The sequence below is a fragment of the Homo sapiens genome, chromosome 1, assembly GCF_000001405.40.
Source record: "Homo sapiens chromosome 1, GRCh38.p14 Primary Assembly".
Lineage (NCBI taxonomy): Eukaryota > Metazoa > Chordata > Mammalia > Primates > Hominidae > Homo > Homo sapiens.
Window position 1 is genome coordinate 15372626 of NC_000001.11, and position 24194 is coordinate 15396819.

The 24194-nt window shown below is 49.4% G+C and overlaps 1 protein-coding gene across 37 annotated transcripts in view, besides 3 other annotated features; it reads left to right on the plus strand.

Moving 5' to 3' along the window:
* FHAD1 (forkhead associated phosphopeptide binding domain 1) overlaps positions 1–24194 on the plus strand; it is a 166490-nt gene that overhangs the window by 136105 nt on the left and 6191 nt on the right. For 11 of the 37 annotated variants that reach the window (XM_017000198.3, XM_017000199.3, XM_017000202.2 and 8 more), the window contains 8 exons: positions 1877–2006; positions 2978–3105; positions 8076–8171; positions 8606–8826; positions 9403–9568; positions 11182–11305; positions 15426–15506; positions 18585–18638. In XM_017000198.3, coding sequence (XP_016855687.1) covers positions 1877–2006; positions 2978–3105; positions 8076–8171; positions 8606–8826; positions 9403–9568; positions 11182–11305; positions 15426–15506; positions 18585–18638 — 1000 coding nt within the window. Of the gene's footprint in view, positions 1–1876; positions 2007–2977; positions 3106–8075; positions 8172–8605; positions 8827–9402; positions 9569–10530; positions 10778–11181; positions 11306–15425; positions 15507–15720; positions 15798–18584; positions 18639–24194 lie in introns of those variants that run through there. The other 26 variants (XM_047443734.1, XM_011540581.4, XM_011540582.4 and 23 more) reach the window with 17 other exon arrangements.
* Positions 11476–12123: an enhancer, noted in NCBI's record as "OCT4-NANOG-H3K27ac-H3K4me1 hESC enhancer chr1:15710597-15711244 (GRCh37/hg19 assembly coordinates)". NCBI's record gives its function as "activates a minimal SCP1, AML or CMV promoter by ChIP-STARR-seq in naive H9 embryonic stem cells {active_cell/tissue: H9 hESC(naive)}" and the evidence as "EXISTENCE:reporter gene assay evidence [ECO:0000049][PMID:30033119]".
* Positions 12124–12771: an enhancer, noted in NCBI's record as "OCT4-NANOG-H3K27ac-H3K4me1 hESC enhancer chr1:15711245-15711892 (GRCh37/hg19 assembly coordinates)". NCBI's record gives its function as "activates a minimal SCP1, AML or CMV promoter by ChIP-STARR-seq in naive H9 embryonic stem cells {active_cell/tissue: H9 hESC(naive)}" and the evidence as "EXISTENCE:reporter gene assay evidence [ECO:0000049][PMID:30033119]".
* Positions 12128–12247: an enhancer, noted in NCBI's record as "active region_236". NCBI's record gives its function as "activates an Ori minimal core promoter by ATAC-STARR-seq in GM12878 lymphoblastoid cells {active_cell/tissue: GM12878}" and the evidence as "EXISTENCE:reporter gene assay evidence [ECO:0000049][PMID:35858748]".

Consider the following 24194-nt stretch of genomic DNA (forward strand, 5'->3'; position numbering starts at 1 on the left):
TTCTAAAATAATTTTGGTTCACTTCATACTACATATATATTATCTTCCATATCTATAGCTATCTATATATGTATATGTATATGCATGAAATGAACCAAAACTGGTATTTTAAAAAGTATTATAAAAGAGCCAGATTGTCAGTTTCTTCTCTTTCTTGCCAATTTGACTGAAGCCTTCCCTGGCAACTCTATCTACAAATGAAAACGGTTCCCAACATCCCACCCTGTTTCCCCACTTAATTTTCTCTTTACCATTTATAACTTCTACCAGATATTTTCACCTTGTTGTCTGTCTGCCCACATGAGGATGCAAAATCTATGACAACAGGGATGTTGCTGGGTTTAGCAACTACTCAATCCCCAGAGCCTAGAATAAGCCTTGGCACATAGAGGTGCTCAATAAATCGATGTGAGATGAATGAATGAATTTCTTACCCTAGAGAAGCATTGTTTAGCTCAGAGTTTATGAATGGACTTCAGGAGGTCTTGACCCTCTGGACGTTGTATGCAAATATTTGTGTCGATGTGAATTTTTCTGGAGGAAAAAACCCTGCATGCTTCCAAATCTTAAAAGGGTACATGACCCTTAAAAGATGAAAAAGACGGCTGGGCACAGTGGCTCACACCTGTAATCCCAGCACTTTGGGAGGCCGAGGGAGGCGGATCACGAGGTCAGGAGTTCGAGACCAGCCTGGCCAACGTGGTGAAACCCCGTCTCTACCAACAACACACAAAAAATTAGCTGAGCGTGGTGGCATGCACCTGTAATCCCAGCTACTCAGGAGGCTGAGGCAGGAGAATCGCTTGAACCCGGGAGGTGGAGGTTGCAGTGAGCCAAGATCACGCCACTGCACTGTAGCCTGGGCGACAGAGCAAGACTCCGTCAAAAAAAAAAAATGGTGAAAAAGGCCTTTCTTTGTCTGTGCTCTTAGTAAACCCAACTCTAGGCTGGTTACAGTAGCTCATGCCTGTAATCCCAGCACCTTGGGAGGCGGAAGCAGGAGGATTGCTTGAGCTCAGGAGTTTGAGACCAGCGTGGGCAACAAAGCGACATCCTGTCTCTACAAAAAAATAGAGAAAAATTAGTCGGGCGTGGTGGCACACACTTGTAGTTCCAGCTGCAGAGCTGGAAGGATCGCTTGAGCGCAGAGGTAGAGGCTACAGTGAGCCGTGATCATGCCATTGCATTCCAACCTGGGCAACAGAGCAAGACCCAACAGAGCAAGATCCAAAAACCAAAACAAACAACAAAAACACACACGCACAAAAAAAACCCAACTCTAACCTGAGCTATTTAGGATGGTCCATCTGGGTCTAGTGGCCACCATATTGGACAGTGCAGGTATAAAACATTCCCTTCACCACAGAAAGTTCCGTGGGGTTCCAGAAGCTCCGAAGCCTCAGAGGAAGGTTTTCATTTCTCCAGCCCAACCAAGAGCCAATCTATCAAATCCCCCTAGCAAATATTAAATAATCATCCTTATCACCAGTTAAAAGAAAGCATCATGGGTTCTCATCTGAAAATGCCCCTCCGGGAGTAGAATTGGCTGTGATTGTTCAGAAACAAGACCAGCATGACAGCGAATGGAAACCTAGGCATAGAACAGTATTAGAAGAAAAAATAAAACGTGGAGAGGGAACGTGGAGGGGCTTTTATTTATAGTAATGCTAAATAAGAAAGTTGGAAGTCTTCCTACATGTGACCCGATATTTGAGATGAAAAATGTAAATTCTATCTCTGCTGAAGCCCTAATGCTATTTTTCCAAAGGTGCTAAGTGACTGGGTTCCTCTATACATGAATTGTTCACATTTCTGTGAATGTAAGAGAAATCTTCTAATCCCTGATCAAATGCTGCCCGCCCCATTCTGCCCACAGCAGCAATCCTTCAGCGATCTAGGGGTCAGGTGCAAAGGGTCCCGGCACGAGGAGGTCATTCAGCGTCAGAAAAAGGCCTTATCTGAACTTCGAGCGCGAATTAAAGAACTCGAGAAGGCGCGCTCACCAGGTAAGTCTCCTCCTTCCTAGTCAGAGCAGTGGACCCCAGACTCCGGCTCACTTTGGGGACTGACCAGTTTGCCAGGACTACCATGTTTTATCTGCATCATCCCAGAACTTGGAGGACATTGTAATACACAAAAAGATGGGCAGACCATGATCTCAGAGTCAAGTGCAGGCCTTGATATTAAATAAATAGGATTTCATGCATAACTCACTATTGTACGTTTTTTTTTTTGTTTGTTTTTTTTTTTTGAGACAGAGTCTCGCTCTGTCACCCAGCCTGGAGTGCAGTGGTGCATTCTTGCCTCACTGCAACCTCCGCCTCCCAGGTTCTAGTGATTGTCCTGCCTCAGCCTCCCTAGTATCTAGGACTACAGGAACTAGCCACCACACCTGGCCAATTTTTATATTTTAGTAGAGACGGGATTTCACCATATTGGTCAGGCTGGTCTTGAACTCCTGACCTTGTGATCCACCCGCCTCAGCCTCCCAAAGTGCTGAGATTACAGGCGAGAGCCACCACACCCAGCCTACTTTTTCTTATTTCATGGTGGCTGGGTGAGAACTTTGTCATGGATGAATACTGTCTAAGGATCAATGTTGGAGAACCACTTACAGTACCCCCTTTAGAGGGGGTAGAACTCCCCTAAGACTTGGGGCCCACTGCAGGCTGGGGCACTGGTCTAGGACCTGGAAGCCTGGGTTCAAGTTCCGTCTTGGTTCCATGGCTGAAGGACCTTAGCAAAGTCCACCCTCAATGGTCTCGGCGCTGATACCTGTGTGGCTGCAGCCTCCTATGAGCCGGGTGACCTTGGCCAGGTCATTTAATCTCTCTAGGACTGTGTCCTCATCTGCCACGGGAGGTCGTAAGGATTAAAACAGGCCTGTGTAAGTGTCCTGTAAATAGTTGCTATGGTTATTACATGAAACAACTTCTTCCTGAGCCTTTCTTTTGAGTCTACTTTATTTCTTTTACAGATCATAAAGACCACCAGAATGAATCATTTCTAGATTTAAAGAACCTCAGAATGGAAAACAATGTCCAGAAAATACTACTGGATGCAAAACCGGATTTGCCAACTCTCTCAAGAATAGAGATCCTAGCGGTAACCAAAGAAAATTCTCTCTGCTGTGACTGGCATGTGGAGAGGAGGGGCCTGAGGGCAGACACTAGCTTCGTTCCCTGGCACAGCCATACATGTCAGTGGTTTGGGGCTGGCTGCTGTCTATACTCACTAGCTGGGGCCCCGACCATACCCGTTGTCCAGGGTTTGCACAGAAAGGTAGCCTTCCACTTGCCCACAGTATGGTTCCGCATGGTGTTGACATTGGGCCACGTTAATCGCTGAAGCATGGCGGGCCCCCTTTCCAGATCATGTATGATATTCTTTATTTTATTTTTTATTTTTATTTATTTTTATTTTATTTATTTATTTATTTATTTATTTATTTATTTTTTTATTTATTTTTTTATTTATTTTTTGAGACAGAGTCTCGCTCTGTCACCCAGGCTGGAGTGCAGTGGCACTATCTTGGCTCACTGCAAGCTCCGCCTCCCAAGTTCATGCCATTCTCCTGCCTCAGCCTCCTGAGCAGCTGGGACTACAGGCACCCGCCACCACACCCGGCTAATTTTTTTGTATTTTTAGTAGAGACAGGGTTTCACCTTGTTAGCCAGGATGGTCTTGATCTCCTGACCTCATGATCCGCCCGCCTCGGCCTCCCAAAGTGCTGGGATGACAGGCGTGAGCCACTGTGCCCGGCCGATCACGGGTGATATTCTGCAGAACATGTTCAGCAGGCTAATAGATCATGTTATGCCATGAGTTTGCCTAAAGTTTGCTTTTCGCTGTTACCTGAAAAACACAACCACATAAAAGGCAGGAGAAGGGATCCGTGATTCAGAGCACACAAGTTCCTAGAGTCAGAGGGACCTGTGTCCAGATCCGAGCTCTGCGAGCTGTGTGACCTTGGGCAAGGCTCTTGACCTTTCTGGGACTCCATTTCCCAGCTGTAAAATGATGACAAAAATACTGAAGGAGATAATTCTGGAAAGCGCTTAGCCTAGTGCCTGGCTCAGAGGAAAAACTTAATAAATGATAGATGTTATTATTAAAATTATTTAAATAGGCCAGGTGTGGTGGCTCACGCCCATCATCCCACCACTTTGTGAGGCCAAGAGAAGGGTATCGCTTGAGGTCAGGAGCTTGAGACCAGCCTGGGAAACATAGCGAGACCCCATCTCTACAAAAAAATTAAAAATAACGCTAGTCAGGCATGGAGCCAGGTACCTGCAGTCCTGGCTAGTCAGGAGGCTGACATGGGAAGATCACTTGAGCTCAGGAGTTTGAGGCTACAGTGAGCTATGATCGTGCCACTGCTCTCCAGCAGGGACAACAGGATTTCCAGAAGTGATTTGATTGTGCAGTTGAAGGTGCCTTTTTACCCTAAATGGATGTTTGGGCATTTGATGGACACGTGACAGGTCAGCATCTGTCACAGGACCCGCCGAGGGCACGTGTGCTGCCGCAGCTGGATCCACACCACACAGGCTTCTAGAAGAAATAATGAGGCTATCCTACATTCTCTTGGCAGTTTTTCTGGACATTTGCCAGAGTCCAGGAAGAGGGTCTTTGGAAATGAGCTGGTTTTCTAGAGAAAATCAAACCCTACTTCCCTGAGGGTGGGAGTGGAGGGACAGCCTCCAGGTTGAGATCAGTTTGATTCCCAGCCTGACCCGCTCCCAAGACAGGCCTTCCCCTTGGCAGTGCTCCAGTCCCACCACAGACTGACCCGCTCCCAAGACGGGCCTTCCCCTCCACAGGGCCTCAGTGCCACCACAGACACCATGCAGCAGGAAACCTCTCCACTCTCTCAGAAGTCCTCAATCTTCCGACACAACACTGGCAGCAATTCAAATTAAGATAAAGGGGCCAAGCACAGTGGCTCATGCCTGTAATCCCAGCACTTTGGGAGGCCAAGGCGGGCAGATCACTTTGAGCTCAGGAGTTCGAGACCAGCCTGGGCAACATGGCGAGACCCTGTCTCTACAAAAAATTAGCCAGGCATTGGTGGCTCATGCCTGTAGTCCCAGCTACTCAGGAGGCTGAGGCTAGAGAATCACTTGAGCCCAGGAAGTGGAGGCTGCAGTGAGCCAAGATCACATGATTGCACTCTGGCCTGGGTGACAGAATGAGACTTTGTCTCAAAAAAAAAAAGAAAAGAAAAATGAAGAGAAGGAGCAGGAGGAAGAACAGCTGGCATTTACTGAGTGCTTACTGTGTACCAGGCATTGAGCAGAGCCCTTCACATGTGTTATTTCATTTAATCCACACAGCAGCCTGGGTCAGTTACCATTGTTATCCCCGTTTTACAGATAAGAAATATGAAGACTTCAGGCCAGGCACGGTGGCTCACGCCTGTAATCCCAACACTTTGGGAGGCCGAGGCAGGCAGATCACTTGAGGCTAGAAGTTTGAGACCAGCCTGGCCAACATGGCAATACCCCGTCTCTGCTAAAAATACAAAACTTAGCCAGGCATGGTGGTGCACATCCGTGCTCAGGCACGAGAATCACTTGAACCCGGGAGGCAGAGGTTGCAGTGAACCAACATCGCACCACTGCACTCCAGCCTGGGCGAAAGAGTGAAACTCCGTCAAAAAAAAAAGAAAAGAAGAGAAAGGAAAAGAAAAATTAAGGCTTCAGAAGGTCAAGCACTTCACCCAAGGTCACAAAGATAATGAATGACAGAGCCAGGACTGTGTCCCTGGAGGTCCGCCTCTTGCAGCCTGCTGGTCTGCAGAGAAGGAGATGGGGATGGTGTGATCGAACCTGCAGCCTGGACTCTTCCTTAGGTCACCCTCCCTCCGGACTCCTGCAAGCTGCAGGAAAAGAGAGGGGATTCTGAAGGGGAGTGCAGAGGATGCAGTTGAGGGAGCTGGAGACACCAAGCTGCGTTTTAGGTTCTTTTTGTAGCAAAACTGCCCAATTTATTGTCATCTTTAAATACCTGCTTTATTCTCATCTCATAGATAGATAAATGTGTCCACTCTTAATATAGACAAATATGTCACACTTACCTATCACAGTCACCTTCAGGCTTTTAGATTTTTGTGAATGGGTTTTTTGTTTTTATTTTTGTTTTTTTTAATCTCCCAGGTTTACAGTATAGAGCCGGTAAATGCTGCAAGCTGACATGCTCTTGGTGTTCGTGGCGAGCACTTAAAACCCAATTTAGTTGTGAGGGGATGTATGGGGGTTGTCCGTGGCCTCCAGACTCCCCGCTTGGCCTGGTGGCTTTTCTATGCCTTTGGCTGGGGCTTTCAGCAAGCAGCCGGCTGAGCAGGGTCTTAGCAGGTGCACAGCTGTCTCCTCTCTGGAAAGGGTCTGAAGTGAAGGGGTGGGTTGCCCTCCACACCTGTGGGTGTTTCTCGTAAGGTGGAACGAGAGACTTGGAAAAGAAAAAGACACAGAGACAAAGTATAGAGAAAGAAATAAGGGGGCCCGGGGAACCAGCGTTCAGCATATGGAGGATCCCGCCAGCCTCTGAGTTCCCTTAGTATTTATTGATCATTCGTGGGTGTTTCTCCGAGAGGGGGATGTGTCAGGGTCACAAGACAATTGTGGGGAGAGGGTCAGCAGACAAACACGTGAGCAAAGGTCTTTGCATCATAGACAAGGTAAAGGATTAAGTGCTGTGCTTTTAGATATGCATACACACAAACATCTCAATGCTTTACAAAGCAGTATTGCTGCCTGCATGTCCCATCTCCAGCCCTAAGGCGGTTTTTCCCTATCTCAGTAGATGGAACGTACAATCGGGTTTTATACCGAGACATTCCATTGCCCAGGGACGGGCAGGAGACAGATGCCTTCCTGTTGTCTCAACTGCAAGAGGCATGCCTTCCTCTTATACTAATCCTCCTCAGCACAGACCCTTTACGGGTGTCTGGCTGGGGGACGGTCAGGTCTTTCCCTTCCCACGAGGCCATATTTCAGACTTTCACATGGGGAGAAACCTTGGACAATACCTGGCTTTCCTAGGCAGAGGTCCATGCGGCTTCCGCAGTGTTTGTGTCCCTGGGTACTTGAGATTAGGGAGTGGTGATGACTCTTAAGGAGCATGCTGCCTTCAAGCATCTGTTTAACAAAGCACATCTTGCACAACCCTTAATCCATTTAACCCTGAGTTTGACACAGCACATGTTTCAGAGAGCACGGGGTTGGGGGTAAGGTCACAGAATCTCAAGGCAGAAGAATTTGTCTTAGTACAGAACGAAATGGAGTCTCCCATGTCTACTTCTTTCTACACAGACACAGTAACAATCTGATCTCTCTTGCTTTTCCCCACACTGAAGTGATGCTCACCCACCATCTGCATCATCTCTGGAAAGGGTCGGAAGTGAGCGTCCAGTTTCCGCTGCGTGAAAATGGCATTCCTTTAATAAAAGGAGGGGGGATGTTTTCTATTTAACCTGCATTCATTCATTTGACAAACATGCCCACTCTGTGCCAGGTGCCATGCTGGGCACAAGGAGGGGGAGAGTGAGCAAACAGCAACACCATCCCTGCTTCTATGGCACTCTCCTCTGGACCAGTGTTTCCAGGCCTTAGCACTGTTGATATTTTAGGGCCCCACAATCTGGCGTGGTTTGTGGGGGCATGTGTGGATGTCTAGTAGCGTCTTTGCTCTCTACCCCCTAGATGCTAGTAGCACTCCCCGCCTGCAGTTGTGACAATCAAAAATGTGTCCAAACACTGCCAAATGGCCCAGGGGAGGGGACAAAACCACCCCAATTGAGAACCACTGTTCTAGAGGGAAGACAGGCGGTGATCAAAGAACAAGACAAGTGATGTATAATTACAGAGACTTCAAAGACAGAGTCATTCTCTGAAGGGTGGGAATACAATTATAAGAAAGCAGTTGACAAAGGAATCAGACGGAATGATCAGGACGCGGACTGAAAATCAACTCTCTTGAGTTAATCTTCGGTAATCACACAGTGCTTTAGCTTCCAGTCATAGAAAGTCATAATGGAATGTCAAGAGAGGCCTTTCATTTCTTTCTGATTTCAGCCTCAGAATGGCCTTTGCAACGCAAGGTTCGGCTCAGCCATGGAGAAGTCAGGGAAGATGGATGTGGCTGAGGCTTTAGAGCTCAGTGAAAAGCTGGTATGTACATCCAGCATCCACCCTGCTCCTATCCAAAGCCTGGGGCCCCTGCAGTCAGTGTTGAACGCAGGATAGTTTAAATATCAACCTCACATGCCTATTTAGTTACTCTAATAACTCTGCAGGACCTACCTACTATCCCAGCATGGGTCAGGAATCACATAGCCAAATTCCTTGAAAAACTGGGTGGTTAGAATGAAGTGTTTATATCTGTTGTCATTTTTCACCCCCGGTTCTCAAAAAAGGCATAGCGTAAATGGATGTGGGAGAAAGGAAAGTCATGCTGAAAGCCCCAGTTGCACATCCTTTCAAAGCATGTGCGTGTTCTCTGCAATTGCAGAAAGTGAATGAAACAGAATTAGACATTGGCCTCCTTAAAGCGGCCACCAGCGGCCGCGGGTAATGCCTCTTATGCGCGAACGTTTTCCTTGTAGTACCTGGATATGAGCAAAACCCTCGGAAGTCTCATGAACATCAAGAATATGTCAGGCCACGTGTCCATGAAATACCTCTCCCGCCAGGAGAGGGAGAAGGTCAACCAGCTTCGACAAAGGGACCTCGACCTGGTGTTTGATAAGATCACCCAACTCAAGAACCAGCTGGGGAGGAAAGAGGAGCTGTTGAGAGGATATGAAAAGGACGTTGAACAGCTCAGGTACCTCGGCACCCCCATGTCCCCACAGAAAGGCCCGGGCCTCCCTTCTCCTGGCTAAACTCAGGCTAGCAGCAGACCTCTAGGCCTGGGACAGGAGGACAGAGACCCACGTGTGGAATACCTGCAATGTCAGAAGGGGACCAGGGAGGGCACTGACTAGGCCTGGTAGAGGGAATTCTGTCCCCGAGATCACGGCTGCAGAAGTGCACGGTTTCCCCATTCTGTGAACTATTTTCTGTGCAAGCTGCACCTCTTGCGACCCTTGACTTATGGTTTCCCAGTTGTGTAGCATTGACAGCTCCGTCATATTTTCAAGAGTCGCAGTTCCCCACTCCCCAGGAAGTCAGGAGGGGCTGGTAGCACATCCTTTATCCCCTCCCGCTACACACATTCGGCTGATGAATGGCTCGTTCTGCTCTCTGTACCCCAAATCTTCGTCATGCTCTCCTGCTTGTGATGACACTCCTGAGTGAGCCCCCACTGTGGATGTATTTTGAGAGACTTCCGGGTCTGGCACATTGATGATGATTGGGAAAGATAAGGGAAAAACAGACGCCATCTCTCCTGTGCACCCAGGCGGAGCAAAGTGTCCATTGAGATGTACCAGTCGCAGGTGGCAAAGCTGGAGGATGATATCTACAAAGAGGCCGAAGAGAAGGCCCTGCTGAAGGAGGCCCTGGAGCGCATGGAGCACCAGCTGTGCCAGGAGAAGAGGATCAACAGGGCCATCCGGCAGCAGAAGGTGAGGCGCTGCTGCCCAGGGCAGAACCTCCCAGGCTGCCCTGCAGCTCCCATTAGCAATGGCCGAGGGTGGTCCCTGGAGGATCCAGGTAGCACAGAACACAGGGATGGATGCAAAGGGAGGCAACTGGATAGCTTTTGCATCAGACAGACCTAGATTTAGACCAGAGCTCAACCACTTGCTATGTGACCTTAGATAGGTTTCTTAACCTCTCTGAGACTCATGGTGCTCATCTGTATTTTTTTTAATGGTGGTTGTTATTCATATTTATATCAATCTGCCAGGTGCTAGGGATACATAAGCTCTCAGAGAGTGGAGATTTGGATTCACTATTCTGAGTGCCTGGCACGCGGTAGACACCCAGTAAATATTTGGTGAACGGATGGGTGGAAGGACAGACAGGTTGATGGACAGATGGAAGAATAGATGGACTGAGGAGTATACAGGTGGATGGGCAGATGGATGTCCTTGAAGAACATATCCCTTAGTGTGGAACAGAGAGCTGACTTCAGGTGGATTTCATAGCTGAAGGCTGTCGAGGCTGTGCAGTCCAGGAAGGGCACTCAGCCTGGTTAGAACATGCAGCGAGGGCCTGCCAAAGCCACAATGCCGCCAGTGACCGCAAAGGAGAGCTGGAGTTTGTCCACCAAAGGGATGAGAGGGTGGACATTCCCGGCTGAAGGAGCCGCAGAGGAAAGGTGTGAGGATGAGATTTGCTCCCTGGCACAGAGTTGGAAATAACACTGGCTTGAGAAACCGAGATTCCAGTCTCAGGCTGGTGACCCAGCGAAAATGGGTCCCCCTCCCACCACACACACACACGCGCACGCGCACACACTCTGGTATCTCATCTGTAGCATGGTACAGGAGTCAGCCGGTCCTGGGCTCAAATCCCCGCACTTATTAACTGTGCGACCTTGTGCAGATCTCTTTGCCTCTCTGAGCCTTGCTTTCCTCATTAGTAGATGGGAGCTTCCAGCCCCTGCCTCGCAGACAGATGGTGAGGATGAAAGAATGCAGGCATCCCTCGCTATCTGCTGTCCACTCTCGCTGTCGTCATACCTCAGGAGCCAAGTGCTTTTGGATGGTGAGGGTGCTTGTCCCGTCTCTGAAGCACCTGCCCAGGGCCTGGCACCAGCCGGCGGACACTGCCTTCCCCATGCTGCCCATGACCCATGCTGCCCGTGACCCATGCAGGTGGTCTCCTGGGTGAGTCCTGCCTCAGACCCGGTAGGGTCTACACACTGGAAAGTTTCCCCAAAGCAAGTCACACATGAGCAGCACCCGGGCGGCTTCCAAAGCTCCCTGAAAGCTGGCAGAGGGGCTTTCCTGTCTGCTTTGCAGTTGACATATTCATCATCCACTCCTGCAGTCCACAAGGCACTGGAACAGTGACCTCTAAATAGAGCCAGACTCTCCCTTTCCTTCACTCTTGCCTAAGGTGGAGCAGATCCCAAGGCTGGGGTTAGGCAAGTCAGGGAAAGAACCACAGTCACTGTTTCTTCATGACCGTCTCCAGGCCAGGGACTGGGCTCACCTGAGCTTTGCAGCCGTGATAGGGCTTATTAATGCCTCTAATAGCCCTGCCTGGTACGATGATCCCTATTTTACAGATGAGGAAACTGCGCCTCAGAGAGTTAAGAGGCGCCCAAGTGCACACAGCGGCTGGTAAGGACAGCTGGGACCTGACCCCAGATCCCTCTGACCCTGGTTCTCCTGCTGTCTGCAGGGTTGGCCGTGAGTCCCCTCCTTGTAACTGTCAGCTTTTATGTGTGTGTGCATTCTCGTGTGTGTGTACATTCTCATGTGTGTGTGTGTGTGCACATGTGTACCATGTGCATGAGGGTTTGGCTGTGTGTGACACTATGTGTGTGTGTTTGTGTGTGTTGCCTGCCTGAGCTCAGAGAGAGCCAAACCCCCAGAGAAGGGTGCCCCCTCCACCAACCAGGTGAGCTCCTTGCAGAGGCCTGGCCTTCATCCCACAAACCTTGCAGACCACAGGCTCCCTGGCTTGCAGCCCCCAAAAATGAAGGCAGCGCTCTGCTCTGGACGTGGCCTTTCCAGCACTCACCACTCTGAATTAAACATCACAGGCCCCCATCTGCACATGTCGTGGGGCTGCCTCGGGCAGAGGACCGTTTCCTTTTACGCTGTGCCATGCCAGGGAGATCTGGGCAGCAGCAGAGTCCTGAGATGTCCTTTGATGTACCCACAGGAGAGTTCGCTCCTTCCCGAGGCAGTGTCCCCCAGGGCTTGGCAGGCCAGGCCCACAGCAGAGACACCAAACCACAGAATGGGACGGCAGAGGGCCCTAAAAAGCCCATTGTCATGCACTGGCTGAAAATGAAAGAAAACCTGCAGATTTACATAATCAGTCCACATGCATTATTCATGGCCTCCCTAGGCACACACAATGCGGGCTGGCCAGCCTTCCACCGAGCGGGAGGAGGAAGGTCCGAAGCGGCCAAGCCAAACCTGTGTCAGCGTCCCCAGCTGGAGCTGGGAACTTTCAAATTCATGGAATTCACAACGTAGGGAAAGATTTGATAGGAAGTAGAGCCACGATCACAGCAAGGCTGATGGTATTATGTAAGGAGCACTTGCTGTCAGATGCACCCCACAGGGCACGGCCCACCCTCACCTCACATCAGCCTGCGAGGAGGGCTGCCGGGCATCTGCCCGCTGAGAGGGGAAACTGAGGAGGTCGGAGGGCAGTGTCACCGGGCTACTCAGCTACAGAAACGGGACCTCAGCGACCTCCGATCCCGGCCCTCCCAGCCCATCCACTCATCCCCCCTATTCCTTTCCAGGATGCACCCCGCCTACTCCATCACCATTTCTCTCGGGGTTCATCCCCAGGCTCAGTTTGCATTTAAGGTTTGTGACTAACATGTCATCAGAAACTCCTGTTTGTCAAGGGAAAAAGGGGGAAAATCTTTTTTTTTTTTTTTGCTTGCTGTTCAAGAATTTGACAACATCAGAGAAAACAGTTTTTTTTCAGTGGTGCAAGACTCGAAAGGGAACCTGTATACATCTGTTTAGGCAGCAGCTGCTCCCTAGGAGAGGAAAGTAGAATTCCTTTAAGTTTCACACCTAACATTTTCACAAAGAGTCGATTTTTTTCCACGTCTCCTGTATAAAATCTCAGTGCCCCTTCATAAAGATGGAACAGTTGAGGCTCTGGGAAACGAAATTACTCACCTTGAGTTTCAGAACTATCCGCCCCTGACACACAGACAACCACTGTAGTTTTAACACTTGAACATCTCTTCACGGAGCAGAACTTCCCAGAGTCCAAAGTCATACTTCCAGCTGGGCAGGGTAGCTCACGTCTGTAATATCAGAACTTTGGGAGGCTGATGCAGGAGGATCACTTGAGACCAGCCTGGGCAACATAGCAAGACACCACCTCTAAAAATAAAAATAAACAAATTAGCCAGGTATGGCACCACACACCTGTAATCTCAGCTACTTGGGAGGCTAAGGCAGGAGGATCAATTGAGCCTAGTAGTTTGGGGCTGCAGTAAGCTATGATCGCACCACTGCCCTCCAGCCTGGGCAACACAGCAAGACCTTGTCTCTTTTAAAACAGAAAAAAAGGCATAGTTCTATACTAATACCTCTGGCTGTGCAAATCAGACCTGACATAAAATGTTGGGGAAAACCTCAGTGCTGGTCATTCACAGAGAACCTCGTGGTCATCAGCCTCCTGACTCTGGGATGCCCTGGGTCCACAGCTCCCTGCAGTGACAGTGTGACAGTGACAATGGCCCAGGCTGTGCCCAATCTAGTCCACTTCCCACATCACTAAACAAGGCAGCAGAGTTTCTCCGAGATAAGAGGCAGACTTGGAGTCCAACAGATAGGGCTTAGGGTTCAAGCCCACCTCTGTCCCTGAGTGAGCCTCAGTAGGTGACTTTACCTCTGTCGCAGGTTTCTCAACAACAGCACCAATAACGGTAACAACAGGACCTGCTTCGTGGGGTGGTTAAATGGTGTGATGCCAGCAGAGCCTGTCACAGAGCAAGCTCAGTTACTCGGTTACTGTGGGGAAGAGAAAAGGCCACTCGGGGGCGGGGGCAGTGCCTGCATCGCTTTCAATGAGCTTCCTGCCCGCTGGCGAGTCCTGCAGACTCCGAGACTTTTTCCCGGGTCCTCCTAGAGCCGGCAGCGCCTTTGTAAAGCTGTCTTTTCTCTTTAGTGAATACAGCTAGGGCTACAGCCAAGAAACAGCTGACACTTTTCGTGAATGGGCTAAGACTGGGATTTTCAGTAGGAACATTTTAAATGCACAGAAGTTGCCCTTGGAGAAGGATGCAAGCCCGTTCTTCGGCCTTTGTTAGGACTTGAGTGTGAGAACCACTGAAATGCACTAGCTGCTTCTGGTGGGGAGCAGGCCAGCTCCCCTTCCGGGCTCCAGCCAATCAAATCCTCCCCAAGGGGCTTGGCCACAGCTTTGCCACGCGGTCTCAGCTGGGCTGGAGCCCCTAACCTTGCCTCTGCATTATGAGCTCAAGTTCCTCATCTTTAAGATGAAAATGAAAATGTGCCTAACCCACAGGAGTCAATCCCGTGAAGGCATGCATATAAAACCCTTAGCGAACACAACCTCTCAATCGTGCTCTTTTCTCTTTTTCTTTTTTTTTCCTTTCTTTCTTTTTTTTTTTGTTTGTTTGTTTATTTGTTTGAGACAGAGTTTCGCTCTGTTGCCCAGGCTGGAGTGCCGTGGCACAATCTCGGCTCACTGCAACCTCTGCCTCCCAGGCTCAAATGATCCTCCCACCTCAGCCTTCCAAGTAGCTGGGATTACAAGGCACCCACCACCACGCCCGGCTTATTTTTGTATTTTTTTTAGTAGAGAGTAATCTTTGTATTTTTTAGTAGAGAGTTTTACCATGTTGCCCAGGCTGATCTGGAACTCCTGGGCTCAAGTGATCTGCCCATCTTGGCCTCCCAAAGTGCTGGGATTATAGGCATGAGCCACCACACTCAGCCATCATATCAGTACTGTTTTATACATCATCATATCAGTAGTATTTTATTTAACTCATTATTTCCCAAGATTTTCTTGGGCCCAGGTATTTTCAAGATCCTGGTTTCCTCAGCACCACTATGTGTTTTTGACCAAAAAGTAGAAATTGGTAGATGTGTGGGATGAGAATGGGATGGGGGTTTGGGGGTGGTAACCACGCGCCCTCACCAGAATGGAAAAGTAAAATGTGGCTAGAGTGGTGCAGTGTATGGATAGAAGATGGCTCAAGAAAAAGACACCAGGCTGGGTGCGGTGGCTCACGCCTGTAATCCTAACACTTTGGGAGGCCGAGGCAGAAGGATGACTTGAGGCCAGGAGTTTGAGACCAGCCTGGGCAACATAGCACGACCCCCATCTCTACAAAAAACAAAAAAATTAGCTGGGTGTGGTGACTCACACCTGTAATCCCAGCACTTTGGGAGGGTGATGTAGGAGGATGGCTTGAGCCCATGAGTTGGTGACCAGCCTGGCAATATGGCAAAAACCCGTCTCTACTAAAAATTAAAAAAATTAGCTGGGTGTGGTGGCACACGCCCGTAGTCGCAGCTACTTGGGAGGCTGAGGTGGGAGGACCGCTTGAGCCTGAGAGGTCGAGGCTACAGTGAGCCATCGTCGTGCCACTGCACTCCAGCCTGTGTGACAGAGTGAGATCCTGTCTCGAATAAAAAAGAAAAAGACTCTCCCGCAGTGATCCCTTATCTTCTGCCCACCTATCTCAGTGAGTCCCAGCGTCTCCTAGAAACCTCAGAGGCCTGTCCCAGATTGGAACGGGTAAGGACACACTAAGGTTAGCACTCTCTTGCTAACCTGATACTTTTCACTCAGGAAAGTGTAGAGGAGCACGAACTGAGAAACGCAAAAGAATCGACACCTTGCAACTGTGCCTTCAAAGAGAAAGACAGGCAGGTATGGGAGGTGTTCTGATGTTGCAGACACAGAGTAGAGACAGTCTCAACTGGGGGTAAGAGCTCATGGCATGCAAATGCCTGCACGCGCTGCCCAAGGAGCACTGCACACCTCCCTCCTTCCCTTCCCTCCCCAGCCTCTGCCCCTCGTCCCTCCCTCCCTCCTTCCCTTCCCTCCCCAGGCCCTGCCCCACCTCCCTCCCTCCCCTCCCCAGGCCCTGCCCCACCTGCCTGCAGTTTGAACGGATGACCTAAGAGACAAGCACGCGTCCAGCCCCGTCTGTCCATTAAGGTGAGAAGGCAGAGGGGATATTCCAGCACAGCTTCAGCTCATGGAGCAGCCATCCTAGGCCACTAAGTAACTTGGGGACTTGGAGGCAAGGTCCTAAGAGAAGAAAGAAGGGAGGAGTGAGGAGCTTCAGGAATCCCTGTCCTAAGAATGAAATGAGGGGGGTGAAAGAAGGTGGGAGTGGCTACAAAACAGAGCCAGGAATGAGGATGAAAGTGCCTCGCATAAGCACTTCTACCCCCGCCAAGGGGAGCCCTGTTTTACTCCGACCTTCCTGGCAGCCAACGAGAAATGGGAAACCAACTTGGTCACAGTTCACAGTGTCCATGAGATACAATGGATGGATGCTCGTAAGTGCTCTTAGAACAAAGACCTTGCTGGACTTTCCCCCTAGAGGGGACGGTGTGTGACGTAAAGAGCAGCATCTTTAAGAACAGCCTTCGTGGGGTGACATGGGCTGAGCCGTGGCTGAGAACAGCTCTTGAGACAGATCGATGTCATCACATCCCACTGAATCCAGTAAAGTTCAGTAAAGCAGATCTGTACGGGGCTGGGCTCTGCTCTCCAGTGCTCAGGTGTCCACTGAGCAGACTTAATCCAGGGATGGATTGTGGAGCAGTGTTCCACCTGGGATTCCTGGAGCCCTTGTGCCCCGTGGAAGGGTATGAGTCCCAACATCCTCACATCTTGTTTCCACCAGAGCAGATGTTTTACATACCAAGTTCCTCAAAGGATTTTGTGTGGGTAAAGAATCCTACTGGTACGCCTGTAATCCCAGAATTTGGGGAGGCCAAGACAGCCGGATGGCTTCAACCCAGGAGTTCAAGACCAGCCTGGGCAACATGGCAAAACCCTGGCTCTACAAAAGCACAAAAAATTAGCCAGCCATGGTGGCGTGCACCTGTAGTCCCAGCTACTCAGGAGGCTGAGGTGGGACAATCTCTTGAGCCCAGGACTTCAAGGTTGCGATGAGCCACATAAGCATCCCGCTAAACTCTAGCCTGAGCAACAGAGGAAGAACCTGTCTCAAAAAAAAAAAAAAAAAAAAACCTGCTGGAAGAGAAAGGAGGGAAGAGAGGTTTAAAACCATTGCTTGACAATACCTGAAATGATGGCTCTCTGCTGAATTTGTTCCTCTCACTAACTTTGTGATAAATGTTTAGTGGCTGCAGGCTCCAGGCCTTCTAGAGGGCAACTGTCAGCTAAATACAGGCCACGATTCTTCGCAGACTGTTGCTTTGGGAGAACAGTGGAGACTTACGAGCACCTATGCCCCTATCCTAAAAGACAGCCTGACTCACTGTCCCCGTGGGTCTGGGGAATGCCAAATGGGGTTGCCAGATTTAAAGGAAAAAAATAAAACAAGATACCCAGTTACATTTGAATTTCAGATAAATAACAAATAGTGATTTAGTGTTAAGTATGTTCCAAATATTGCATGGGACATAGTTATACTTAAAACAAAGTATTTGTTTTCATTCTGAAATTCAAATGTAACTGGGTATCCTGTATTTTATCTGGCAACCCACCAGCAATCCACTGAGCACCAGCTAGATGCCAGGCAGGGCGGCCCTGAGGCAGACGTCACAAAATAGCAGCCCACGGCTATGCCTCATTTGGTCCATTTCAGAATAAGGTGCTTTTGGCAGGGCATGGTGGCTCACGCCTGTAATTCCAGCACTTTGGGAGGACGAGGCAGGCTGATCACTTGAGGTCAGGAGTTCCAGACCAGCCTGGCCAACATGGTGAAACCTCATCGCTACTAAAAATACAAAAATTAGCCGGGTGTGGTGGCAGGCGCCTGTAATCCAAGCTATCGGGAGGCTGAGGCAGGAGAATTGCTTGAACCTGGGAGGCAAAGGTTGCAGTGAGCCGAGATCGCACCACTGCACTCCAGCCTGGGTGACAGAGTAAGACTCTGTCTCAAAAAAAAAAAAAAAAAAAAAAAGGCACTTTAAGAGAATACTCCAGATTTCTGGCTTCTTTGGGAAACTTGGATCTGCTGGTGACACTAGGCCCACAGTCCCACACGCCACCAGCTTCCAGCCCCTTAGAAAGGACCCCGGCCCCTGGGTTTGCTGCCATCTCCATCTCACCGCCTTCTTTGACTTCCTGGCCCCTGTAGGCATGAGGTTGGTGACCCCCATGGAAGGTTGGGGATCTCTGAGAGGGGGGCCCAGCTCCCTCCCTCCCTGAGGTGTCCCCAGTATCTGGGGCTGCTCTTTCTTCAGGGAACTGTTGCTGAGGTGCCACATCTTGGGGACCCCAGGGTCAGCAACTGTAAACCAAACCCCAGGGAAATAGCAAGCTTCAGATTCTGGGTGACGATGACATTCAAACAGGCCCCTAAAGGGAGTTCAACCATCATGGGCCCCACCATCCCTGAGCCATTGGGATACCGAGGTGTGAACCACCGGGCATCTGCAGCCCCTTCCACTTGCTCTGGGAGGCGCTGCCTCGAGCTAAAACAGACGTGTCCTCCGAGAAGAGCATTGTTCCTCACAGGCCCTGGGTTGAGCAGCCTCCACCTCTGCTGGAATCTAGAACAGAGACCCCCAAGAGACTCAGCAAGATGGGGCACTGTGGCTCCCAAAAGCTGTGCCCCCTTCTCGTTGAGAAAATGGATTTTTCTCAATTTTCAGATGCTACCTGTTTGGAATGCTGTCCCTGGGAAGGCCCAGCGTTCCAAATGGTTAGCATCTAAAAGTGGAGAAAAATCCATTTTTCTTTGATGCAAAAGGCAAAGAGGAATCTAAGCTAGATTTTGTTCTTATTCTTTCTGTATTGAAGAGACGAGTATTTGTAGAGATGGTGAAGAACAGGATGCAGAACTCAAATTCCCAGGTGAGCAGAAAGAGCATCCTTTAGAATTCTCTTTTTTTGTTGTTTTGTTTTGTTTTGTTTTGTTTTGCTTGAGACGGAATCTCACTCTGTTGCCCAGGCTGGAGTGCAGTGGCTAGTTCTGTGGTTTCACTGTGTTAGCCAGGATAGTCTCGATCTTCTGACCTTGTAATCTGCCTGCCTCGGCCTCCCAAAGCACTGGGATTACAGGAGTGAGCCACCGCGCCTGGCTGAACACTCTTTTTTAATCAAGTCTATAAAATCTTAAACATGTTGAATCATTGCCATTCACAAATCAGCCCTGGAACTGGAATTGATCCAATCCACACTCCTGCTTTGCAGAAAGTAGAGGCAAGCTATCAGGAAGCTTGAAAGCAAAACACATTTTTGTTGAATAAGAAAGGCTTATTTAACAAGTTTGATAAAAGGCCACAGTTATTCTGAGACAACAAAATTGTCATTGGAAAAACTGAAGATATTCTATGCAAGGGACATTTTTGGAAAATAGAAGCCTCTTCTTAACTGACACCATTGTCCTAGGACAGAAGGTGGCTGCTGCTGCTCTGGGTGTTAGGAGGGTAGAGAGTGTCCCCAGGGTCCCCCTAGACCTGAGACTTTTGCCACCTGCAAAGTGGGAATGAAGGGGAGGCCTGTTGCTTACTCATCCACACACTTGGAGAGACTGGAGCAGGCAGACACTGCCCTGCTGCCAGTTATTGGCTGAGAATGACATGGAGATGTAAAATGACAGTGTTGACATTGGGATGGGCCCTGGATGTAGGGATATTGTGGTGCTCTTAGATGTGAAGCTCCCTGGAATTTCAGGCTTAACAGAATGGGGGCAGATGGTGCTTCGCCTAAGAACAGAGTGATCTTCCCATTTATCCAGCCCTCCAGCCACAGCTTGAGAAAAAAAATCCATTTTTCTCTGATGCAAGAGGCAAAGGGATTGATGGCTTGGACCTCCTTGGTGCAAAAAGGTTTCCTCCAGGCCAGGCGTGGTGGCTCACGCCTGTAATCCCAGCACTTTGGGAGGCCAAGGCGGGCGGATCACGAGGTCAGGAGATCGAGACCATCCTGGCTAACACGGTGAAACCCCGTCTTTACTAAAAATACAAAAAATTAGCTGGGCATGGTGGCGGGCGCCTGTAGTCCCAGCTACTCGGGAGGCTGAGACAGGAGAATGGTGTGAACCTGGGAGGCGGAGCTTGCAGTGAGCCGAGATTGCGCCACTGCACTCCAGCCTGGGGACACAGCGAGACTCCGTCTCGAAAAAAAAAAAAGTTTCCTCCAGGTTCCTTGAAATACATAGCTTGGGGTCTCCGTCCTCTATAGTGTGCTTCGAGTCCTTAAGGTGATGGAGTCATCATGACCACCCTGAGGAAGATGCGACGTGGAAAATCTACTCTTTCAGGCTTGCTTGCTCATAAAAAAAGTGTCCATCCCTAACAAGCTTCAGAACTGGATTTGTGCCTTTCTTTTCAAGGCCCTACGGGTTTTTGTTTTCTGTCCTCCAAAATACCATTCACTGATTTTTTTTTCCATTTTGGCCAACAGTCTTTTGTTCGTGGGCTATATGCTATAAAGGAAAATCTTCCAGTTAACAAGTACTTACTGAGGACCTAGGCTAGGCCACCTACCGTGCTAAGCACTGGGGAGAGAAGGGCGAACAAAAAGAGAGACTGCCCTGGCCCTCATTCGCACAACAGATATTAAGAGTCAGCAACGTGGCAGGGCTGTCCAGGTGTTAAGGTTGGATGATGCATCCTCAGTGGGGGCAGCATCACCCCCGAGGGGGCAAAAATTCATTCCTTTTTTTTTTTTTTTTTTTTGAGACAGAGTCTTGCTCTATTGCCCAGGCTAGAGTGCAGTGGTGCAATTTCGGCTCACTGCAACCTCCACCTCCCAGGTTCAAGCGATTCTCCTGCCTCAGCCTCCCGAGTAGCTGGGACTACAGGTATGCACCACCACGCCCAGCTAACTTTTGTATTTTTAGTAGAGACGGGGTTTCACTATATTGGCCTGGGTAGTCTGGAACTCCTGACCTCAGGTCCACCCTTCCAAGGTGGAGGGATTACAGGCATGAGCCACCGCGCCTGGCCAAAAATTCATTCTTTCTATGTATAAAGCAATAGCCATATCTACATAGATGTGGACACACACACACACGCACACACACACACACACACACACACTGCTATCTGTAAAAGGGTGAGGGGCTGGGGAAAAAACCTCTAAGAATTCTCAGGGGGCGAGGTTGATAGTGAAAGAAAGGCTGAGAAACACAGAGTTAGACTAATGAAGACATAAAGATCCCTGCCTGCCTGCCTGGCTTACAGTCTTGGGCTTTTTTTTTTTTGGAGACCGTGTCTTGCTCTGTGGTCCAGGCTGTAGTGCAGTGGCACCATCTCAGTTCACTGCAACCTCCACTTCCCAGGCTCAAGTGATCCTCCCACCTCAGCCTCCCAAAGTGCTGGGATTTTAGACATGAGCCACTGCCCCTGGCCTCTTTTTTTTTTTTTAAGTAAATACACATAATGATTAAATAATAACTTTGAGCCCAGTGTTTGGAGGACAAAGGCCCCTGAACTGAGCTGAGCATATTTCACAGGGACGTCTTCACTCCCAGTCCAAGCTCCAGGAGAGGCCTTCCTGAGGACCGTATATTTAAACTTAGACCTGAGGTTGTGTGGGAGTGGGCAGGGGGCTTCCTAGAGCCGAGGCTTGCAGTTTCCTGAAGCAGACACCCCAGGATGGCCTGAGTTCATTCACACCTGGGTGTGGCTATTTAAATGACCGGCTTCTACCCCTGCCTTTTCATTCTAAGGGTGAGGCACGTGGTTCCAAATATCTCAAGTGGAATCTGTGCATTTCACATTCCCCATTCCCAGGTCAGCGGTCCTGGCTGCCTTCTGCTGCCCCATCCTTTGTCATTTCATAAAGAGAACAAAGCCCCTTCCGTGGTGCTTCCCATCCCATGCTTCTGGCAGCCCTGGGGCTGGAGACCTGGGGACCTGGGACTCTTTAACAAACTCCCTGGCTCCAACTCTGACAGCCAACTCCACACCGGCTCAGGGCACTGGCATTTGGAAACCATCCACAGTCAGCAATTTTATTGAAAATCAAATGAAAAGGAATATAAAGTAAGGGTTGTTTAGGGGGGAAGGCTTTTGAGTTTGCTGTCTGTTTTCTTTTTCCCTGCGCATTTGGACCAATATTTACTTTGTGGGCTGGTATGGGACTGACTTACCCTTTCTTGCCCTGAAACAATCTTGAATGCAGAGTCTCAAAACACGTTTGAGGCTCCTGTCAGCCACTGTCACAGGCCTCAGGAGGTGATTTTTAAATCCATCTTAAGGTGAAAAGAGCTTAAGTGATGGTCCTAACAGACTCTTCCATTGAAATCTTCCCAGAATCTCCTCTGTGCCCTCTGAGGAAGGCAGGATCGATATTCATCCCTATTTGGCAGATGAGGAAACTGAGGGTCATGTAGTGAGTGGCAGAGCTGAAACGCGACTAGCCACCCAGCCCTCTTGCCCCAGGTGTATGTGCAGCCTGAAGGCTGGGGGCAAAGCTTTGCAGGAACAGAGTTGGCAAGGTAAATCCTGTTGGAAAGAAACTTGCAAGCCACAGTATTATCCACAGTGTGTCCAGAATTGTTTGCGAGAGAGATCTTGGGTTGCAGTTAACAAAAATCTACTCAGAAAAGGGGCAGGGCGGGGGGCTTTTATAAAGATACAGAAATGAATGCCTCATAAAACCTATGGGAAAGGCTGGGTGCGGTGGCTCACGCCTGTAATCCCAGCACTTTGGGAGGCCGAGATGGGCGGATCATGAGGTCAGGAGTTTGAGACCATCCTGGCTAACATGGTGAAACCCCATCTCTACAAAAAATACAAAAAAATTAGCCGGGCATGCTGGCGGGCACCTGTTGTCCCAGGTACTCGGGAGGCTGAGGCAGGAGAATGGCGTGAACCCGGGAGGCGGAGGTGAGCAGAGATCACGCCACTGCAGTCCAGCCTGGGCGACAGAGCAAGACTCCATCTCAAAAAAAAAAAAAAAAAGCTACGGGAGAGAACTAGGAGGATAGCCCAGGCATCGTCTCTCTCGTGCATGCATGCACTCGGGCACACACACGTCTCCATGTCATTTCTGCCCCTCTCCATACCTCTGCTGATTTCTTCTCTCTCCAGTGGTATGACAAGAAGGGACAGCCTCACAGTCCCCCAGTTCAAAGGGCCAGCCCAGGGAGCGAGTGGCATCTCACAGCCCATTACCCCGACTCCTAGGAGTGGGCATCGGAAAAGCCCAGCTGTGCCAAGTGTCCAACAAATATGGCCCGGGAGTGGGGTCATGCACACGGCTGCCAGGACGCCCCCTCCTTTGAGCTGGGAAGTGCTCAAGGGGTTAAACAGACCCCCTTAAATATACTTCACTTTCTCCTTCTAAGCCAAGCTTGTCCAACCCGCAGCCCAGGACAGCTTTAAATGCAGCCCAACACAAATTCGTAAACTTTCTTAAAACATTATGGGATAATTTTTTTTTTAGCTCATCAGCTACCATTAGTGTTAATGTATTTTACGTGTGGCCCAAGACTATTCTTCTTCCAGTGTGGCCCAGGGAAGCCAAAAGTTTGGACACCCAGTTCTAAGCCATCAGAGACTTTAGACACATTCAAGTCAGTAACAGCCTTTCAGGAGAAACACCATCACAATGAATGTGTTACTGTAAGAACCTCCTGGTTTCAAACTAAAAAATATGTAAAGGGACCAGGCTTGGTGGCTCACACCTGTAATCCCAGCACTTTGGGAGGCCAAGGAGAGCAGATCACTTGAGCCCAGGAACTCGAGACCAGCCTGGGCAACATGGCAAAACCTCATCTCTACAAAAAGTAAAATAAAATAAAATAATTAGTTGGGCATAGTGGTGCACACCTATAGTCCCAGCTTACTCGGGAGGCTGAGGTTGGAGGATCACCTGAGCCTGAGGAGGTCGAGGCTGCAGTGAGCGGGGATTGCTCCACAGCACTCCAGCCTGGGCAACAGAGTGAGACCCCATATCAAGAAAAAAAAAAAGAAAAAATAGAGAAAAGGAAAGCAATATCTGTATACCTGGAAGGGTGCACCCCAAAACCTCACTAAAGCTCATCTTTGAGTAACGTGATAATGATGAATCATTTTATCTCTTTTGTGCTCATATCTGTGTGTGTATATATATATTTTTTACAACAAATATTTTATTTTGTGTACAAAAAAATAACAAAACCAGCCGGGTGTGGTGGCTTATGCCTGTAATCCTAGCACCGTGGGAGGCCAAGGCAGGCAGATCACTTGAGGTCAGGAGTTCCAGACCAACTTGACCAACATGGTGAAACCCCCATCTCTACTAAAAATACAAAAATTAGCCGGGTGTGGCGGCATGTGCCTGTAGTCCCAGCTGCTTGGGAGGCTGAGGCAGGAGAATCACTTGAATCCGTGAGGTCGAGGTTGCAGTGAGCAGAGATCATGCCACTGCACTCCAGCCTGGGCCACAGAACAAGACTCTGTCTCAAAAAATAAT